Source organism: Homo sapiens, chromosome 3 (assembly GCF_000001405.40).
Source record: "Homo sapiens chromosome 3, GRCh38.p14 Primary Assembly".
Taxonomy (NCBI): domain Eukaryota; kingdom Metazoa; phylum Chordata; class Mammalia; order Primates; family Hominidae; genus Homo; species Homo sapiens.
The window spans coordinates 137456776-137464532 of record NC_000003.12 but is presented as its reverse complement, the minus strand read 5'-3'; the positions used below and the strand labels follow the sequence as shown (position 1 = coordinate 137464532).

Genomic DNA, 7757 nt, shown 5'->3' with positions numbered 1-7757 from the left:
TGGAAACGCAGCCCAGGGTTACCACAGCTCTCAAATTTTTCAGGAGCCATAAATCTGGGTTGTTATGTGAAGTGTATTCTTTTCCCCCCAACGTTGTCTGAGCTAACTCTGTGCTAACAAACAAAACATGTATGTGAGCTGGGTTCCGCTTGTGGATGGCTGTGAATAGCCGTTTCTCTGCACCCTCCCCACCTCCCACACCAGTCCTCAGTGAAGACAGAAGCTCCAGGGGCACTTCCAGAGAAGGAAGAGATGGGCACAACTAAATTTAAAGCAAAGTGGAAATGAAAGTGGAGAAGTTTACACAGAAAGCATGTTTGGAAAGTGATGAGTTCTCAAAGATGAGTGCTACCCAGGCACCCTCACAGGGATTCAGGGAAGCAAGGCTTCTTTGCCATCCAGTTGGCACTGCCTTGGCACAAATAGCACCCCAGCTTCTAGAAATAAGAAAAGAGGTAGCTACTTGAGGCATTTCCTGGAGCTGCAGACTGTTTGAGAATAGTCTAACCATGGCTGTCTCCTTCAGGGTTTCACAGATTCATCAAGCATGTGATGCTCTTTCTGGCTGAGTTCTATGTACGGAACTGATGCATGAGGGCAGCTTATCCTCCCTGCCTTGCCTCGGAAACACTTATCTGCATAGATAATGCTGCTCTCCCTTTAGATGGGAGGGAGGGCCTGGGTCAGCATACCTGTGTCTGAGTTCAACATACACTACACTCATCCCAGCAAACTCAGCATTACCCTCCGCCAACACTGTTTGGGGTCATCTTTCTGATTTGGATTAACCTGTTTATATAAAAATTGAAAATATTATCCTAATTGAGCCATTCTCTTCTGTTCTCTTTCCTTCTCTTCCTTGGGTTTTCTAGTAGTGGCTTTATCACCGGAACTCTTAATTTTTCTGAACTCTTTCTTCAAGGGTGCAGGGAATTGAAAACATACTTTGCTTCATCTGTGTATTTTTAAAACCATATATTGTAATGTAAGTAATAGACGTTAAAGATAATTGCAAACTATTCTTGATTTTACTAGTGTTTTATTAACAAATCTGCCTTAATCCAGGATTAAAATTGAGTGAGATTAGAGGATTTTTCCATTCGCAGCTTGGAGCAAGAGATTCTATGCAATAAATGTGCCTCTTTGCTTGACATAAAGCCGTCCTATTATATTCCTGGCAGCACCGAGTGAGACCGACTCCCATCTGCCCCGCAATGCACATGTACATTGATAGGCAAGGGGTGCCCAGCACAGTTAAAGGCCTAGGCCTCCCTGTTCCCCTCAAGGTGTCAGGATGAAGGCCTCATTCTCTTTGCTTCTGTGCTTTGAGTTGCCTTTCCATAACATAGGACCTTTCTTCTGAATCTAACATTTCATTTCAACATTATATCACAGGGCATGTTATTTCAGCAAAACAGGCAGTGACTGGAGTATAAAGCACTTCTGCCTGGTGCTGCTGGTTTGTTCCACTGATTAGAGCATCACTAACAAGGGGAAGGTCACAGGGCCTCCATTCTTACGGGGACCAGTCCACAGTTTCCTTCTGCTCCATGGTCTGTGGCTGTACCTGTAGTCCCAATCAGTTGCTGCTGTGAAAATTTCACCATCCAAAGGATGAAAGGGACTCAGGGGGCCTCTCTTGTGGGCAGTGGGCAGCAGCGTCATATCCATACACAAAGGATGTTATTTTATCAATTGAAAGTCATCATTAGAGGGAAAATGCTATGCCAATCAGAGGTGACTGAAGACAAAGCAGGGCTAGGTCACCCCACAACCCAGTGACTATGCACCTAGTCACTTTCCTGGCCCCAACCTCAATCTGAACTTTCCTGGGAAGATACATCCTTTTCTTATGTTCATTTCAAGCACACATACAACTTCCCTTGTCATTTTTGATTCTATGTTTCCTGTTGTCATGTCAGTAATTATTGGTGGATGAATGGTGTGTATGCATTACATGTGCATAGGTGTGTGCAATGTTTATGTCTGTGTGTACCTGAACTCATTCTTTCATCCCAAAACCTATTCATCCAGGCCTAAGTCTTATGTCCAGGAATAAGTATACCATCCAGTAGTTTACCTAAGTAGACACGCTGGCTGTCACTTTCTCTACTCCTTTCTGTCCTCAGTCTTCTGTATATAATTAATCTCAAAATGCCGTCAAATTTACCATCAAAATGTCTTTCCACTACCCCCTCCCTTCCATTCTCCCTCCCACTGTTCCAGTTCAGACCACAGCCATCTCTCTCCTAGATATCTCCAATGGCTTCCAGTTGGACACTCTACTTCTGAAATGCCTGCCTGCCACCTCTTACCCATTTTCACTATTGCAGCCTCATTGATCCACTGAACACAGACCTGACCTTTCTACTCCATTATTCAAAAGTCTTCCATGGCTTCCACTCCCCTGAGAAGAGATTGTAAGCTCCTCAGCATAAAACATAAGAACCATCAAGATCTGGCCTGGCCTCCACACTGGCCTCAGCTCCTGCCTCCCATTACCAAGCGTTCCACTCTCAGCCACATCATCTACTCGCCATTCATGGAACATACTGAGACCTCTCAAGCTTCCATATGCTTACATGTGTTAGGTCCCCACCTACAATGCCTTTTCCCATCTTGTCCACATAGACGCTTTCTCTAATCTCCTTGGAGACCTGTCTCCAAGTGCCGACTTTGCTTCCCACTCAGGAAAAGCCAGCCAGACATACCTCTGGGAGGCAGAGGCATTGGTCATAGCACTTGCCTGCCTGTCTTGCTTGCTCAACTGAAGGACCAGAACTCATTCAGCTTTGTATTTCCAAGGATCACCAGCACACAGGGAGGTCCCATTCATTGATGCTGCAATTAGGTGTTGAGTATCTACCATGTGCTAGCAGTAGTAAGTAAAAAGAAAGTTGGTTGCCATTACAGTACTAAATCATGAATAAATTCTTGCATCTGTGTGTTGTCTGTGTAGTGAGCAAGAGTTAAACTGTAAAGAAAAGAGAAGTAGCAATCAGCAGGAAGGAAAATAAAGTTTCCATTCCCCAACCCTCAGATTTTCTACTTGTAATTTAGTGGATGAAATATTTAATAAAGAAGATTTTTTTTCATTTTTAATGAGGTGACTCAGCATATAGATTAGTAATAATAATGATGATAATAACAACAACTAACATTTTTGGAGTGCTTGCTATGTTCTAGGCCCCATTATAAGAACTTTACATATGTCAGCCCATTTTTTTTCACACAACAATCTTAGAAAATAAGTATTATTATTTATTATTATTGCTATTATTATCCTCACTTTAGAAAAAAAGAAAGTGAGACATTTAAATGTTAAGCAACCTGATCACAGTCTTACAGTTAGTAAACATTGGAGCGGGCATGTGCCCAAGCAATGTGACTCCGCATTATGCTGTTTGCTTACTGCAGATGGGTGTCCCTTAACACATTATTGACAAGATGTGGACTATGATGGATCTAAGTCCATGTAACAAGGAGCTACCTGAATTTTAAAATAATATGGAAGAAAAGTGATAAGTATATATAAAAATCTAGGGATGGGGGGGAGGAGCCAAGACGGCCGAATAGGAACAGCTCCAGTCTACAGTTCCCAGCGTGAGCGACGCAGAAGACGGGTGATTTCTGCATTTCCATCTGAGGTACCGGGTTCATCTCACTAGGGAGTGCCAGACAGTGGGCGCAGGCCAGTGGGTGTGCGCACTGTGCGCAAGCCGAAGCAGGGCGAGGCATTGCCTCGCCTGGGAAGCACAAGGAGTCAGGGAGTTCCCTTTCCGAGTCAAAGAAAGGGGTGATGGACGCACCTGGAAAATCGGGTCACTCCCACCCGAATATTGCGCTTTTCAGACCGGCTTAAAAAACGGCGCACCACGAGACTATATCCCACACCTCGCTCGGAGGGTCCTACGCCCACGGAGTCTCGCTGATTGCTAGCACAGCAGTCTGAGATCAAACTGCAAGGCGGCAGCGAGGCTGGGGGAGGGGAGCCCGCCATTGCCCAGGCTTGCTTAGGTAAACAAAGCAGCCCGGAAGCTCGAACTGGGTGGAGCCCACCACAGCTCAAGGAGGCCTGCCTGCCTCTGTAGGCTCCACCTCTGGGGGCAGGGCACAGACAAACAAAAAGACAGCGGTAACCTCTGCAGACTTAAATGTCCCTGTCTGACAGCTTTGAAGAGAGCAGTGGTTCTCCCAGCACGCAGCTGGAGATCTGAGAATGGGCAGACTGCCTCCTCAAGTGGGTCCCTGACCCCTGACCCCCGAGCAGCCTAACTGGGAGGCACCCCCCAGCAGGGGCACACTGACACCTCACACGGCAGGGTATTCCAACAGACCTGCAGCTGAGGGTCCTGTCTGTTAGAAGGAAAACTAACAAACAGAAAGGACATCCACACCAAAAACCCATCTGTACATCACCATCATCAAAGATCAAAAGTAGATAAAACCACAAAGATGGGGAAAAAACAGAACAGAAAAACTGGAAACTCTAAAACGCAGAGCGCCTCTCCTCCTCCAAAGGAACGCAGTTCCTCACCAGCAACGGAACAAAGCTGGATGGAGAATGACTTTGATGAGCTGAGAGAAGAAGGTTTCAGATGATCAAATTACTCTGAGCTACGGGAGGACATTCAAACCAAAGGCAAAGAAGTTGAAAACTTTGAAAAAAATTTAGAAGAATGTATAACTAGAATAACCAATACAGAGAAGTGCTTAAAGGAGCTGATGGAGCTGAAAACCAAGGCTCGAGAACTACATGAAGAATGCAGAAGCCTCAGGAGCCGCTGCGATCAACTGGAAGAAAGGGTATCAGCAATGGAAGATGAAATGAATGAAATGAAGCGAGAAGGGAAGTTTAGAGAAAAACGAATAAAAAGAAATGAGCAAAGCCTCCAAGAAATATGGGACTATGTGAAAAGACCAAATCTACGTCTGATTGGTGTACCTGAAAGTGATGGGGAGAATGGAACCAAGTTGGAAAACACTCTGCAGGATATTATCCAGAGGAACTTCCCCAATCTAGCAAGGCAGGCCAACGTTCAGATTCAGGAAATACAGAGAACGCCACAAAGATACTCCTCGAGAAGAGCAACTCCAAGACACATAATTGTCAGATTCACCAAAGTTGAAATGAAGGAAAAAATGTGAAGGGCAGCCAGAGAGAAAGGTCGGGTTACCCTCAAAGGGAAGCCCATCAGACTAACAGCGGATCTCTCGGCAGAAACCCTACAAGCCAGAAGAGAGTGGGGGCCAATATTCAACATTCTTAAAGAAAAGAATTTTCAACCCAGAATTTCATATCCAGCCAAACTAAGCTTCATAAGTGAAGGAGAAATAAAATACTTTACAGACAAGTAAATGCTGAGAGATTTTGTCACCACCAGGCCTGCCCTAAAAGAGCTCCTGAAGGAAGCGCTAAACATGGAAAGGAACAACCAGTACCAGCCGCTGCAAAATCATGCCAAAATGTAAAGACCATCGAGACTAGGAAGAAACTGCATCAACTAACGAGCAAACTCACCAGCTAACATCATAATGCCAGGATCAAATTCACACATAACAATATTAACTTTAAATGTAAATGGACTAAATTCTCCAATTAAAAGACACAGACTGGCAAGTTGGATAAAGAGTCAAGACCCATCAGTGTGCTGTATTCAGGAAACCCATCTCATGTGCAGAGACACACATAGGCTCAAAATAAAAGGATGGAGGATGATCTACCAAGCAAATGGAAAACAAAAAAAGGCAGGGGTTGCAATCCTAGTCTCTGATAAAACAGTCTTTAAACCAACAAAGATCAAAACAGACAAAGAAGGCCATTACATAATGGTAAAGGGATCAATTCAACAAGAAGAGCTAACTATCCTAAATATCTATGCACCCAATACAGGAGCACCCAGATTCATAAAGCAAGTCCTGAGTGACCTACAAAGAGACTTAGACTCCCACACATTAATAATGGGAGACTTTAACACCCCACTGTCAACATTAGACAGATCAACGAGACAGAAAGTCAACAAGGATACCCAGGAATTGAACTCAGCTCTGCACCAAGCGGACCTAATAGACATCTACAGAACTCTCCACCCCAAATCAACAGAATGTACATTTTTTTCAGCACCACACCACACCTATTCCAAAATTGACCACATAGTTGGAAGTAAAGCTCTCCTCAGCAAATGTAAAAGAACAGAAATTATAACAAACTATCTCTCAGACCACAGTGCAATCAAACTAGAACTCAGGATTAAGAATCTCACTCAAAGCCGCTCAACTACATGGAAACTGAACAACCTGCTCCTGAATGACTACTGGGTACATAACGAAATGAAGGCAGAAATAAAGATGTTCTTTGAAACCAACGAGAACAAAGACACAACATACCAGAATCTCTGGGACGCATTCAAAGCAGTGTGTAGAGGGAAATTTGTAGCACTAAATGCCCACAAGAGAAAGCAGGAAAGATCCAAAATTGACACCCTAACATCACAATTAAAAGAACTAGAAAAGCAAGAGCAAACACATTCAAAAGCTAGCAGAAGGCAAGAAATAACTAAAATCAGAGCAGAACTGAAGGAAATAGAGACACAAAAAACCCTTCAAAAAATCAATGAATCCAGGAGCTGGTTTTTTGAAAGGATCAACAAAATTGATAGACCACTAGCAAGACTAATAAAGAAAAAAAGAGAGAAGAATCAAATAGACACAATAAAAAATGATAAAGGGGATATCACCACCGATCCCACAGACATACAAACTACCATCAGAGAATACTACAAACACCTCTACGCAAATAAACTAGAAAATCTAGAAGAAATGGATACATTCCTCGACACATACACTCTCCCAAGACTAAACCAGGAAGAAGTTGAATCTCTGAATAGACCAATAACAGGAGCTGAAATTGTGGCAATAATCAATAGTTTACCAACCAAAAAGAGTCCAGGACCAGATGGATTCACAGCCGAATTCTACCAGAGGTACAAGGAGGAACTGGTACCATTCCTTCTGAAACTATTCCAATCAATAGAAAAAGAGGGAATCCTCCCTAACTCATTTTATGAGGCCAGCATCATTCTGATACCAAAGCCGGGCAGAGACACAATCAAAAAAGAGAATTTTAGACCAATATCCTTGATGAACATTGATGCAAAAATCCTCAATAAAATACTGGCAAACCGAATCCAGCAGCACATCAAAAAGCTTATCCACCATGATCAAGTGGGCTTCATCCCTGGGATGCAAGGCTGGTTCAATATACGCAAATCAATAAATGTAATCCAGCATATAAACAGAGCCAAAGACAAAAACCACATGATTATCTCAATAGATGCAGAAAAAGCCTTTGACAAAATTCAACAACCCTTCATGCTAAAAACTCTCAATAAATTAGGTATTGATGGGACGTATTTCAAAATAATAAGAGCTATCTATGACAAACCCACAGCCAATATCATACTGAATGGGCAAAAACTGGAAGCATTCCCTTTGAAAACTGGCAGAAGACAGGGATGCCCTCTCTCACCACTCCTATTCAACATAGTGTTGGAAGTTCTGGCCAGCGCAATCAGGCAGGAGAAGGAAACAAAGGGTATTCAATTAGGAAAAGAGGAAGTCAAATTGTCCCTGTTTGCAGACGACATGATTGTTTATCTAGAAAACCCCATCGTCTCAGCCCAAAATCTCCTTAAGCTGATAAGCAACTTCAGCAAAGTCTCAGGATACAAAATCAATGTACAAAAATCACAAGCATT

The 7757-nt window shown here is 43.2% G+C and overlaps 1 annotated feature.

Annotated features, from left to right (window-relative positions):
- Positions 3775-4324: an enhancer, noted in NCBI's record as "H3K27ac-H3K4me1 hESC enhancer chr3:137179051-137179600 (GRCh37/hg19 assembly coordinates)". NCBI's record gives its function as "activates a minimal SCP1, AML or CMV promoter by ChIP-STARR-seq in primed H9 embryonic stem cells {active_cell/tissue: H9 hESC(primed)}" and the evidence as "EXISTENCE:reporter gene assay evidence [ECO:0000049][PMID:30033119]".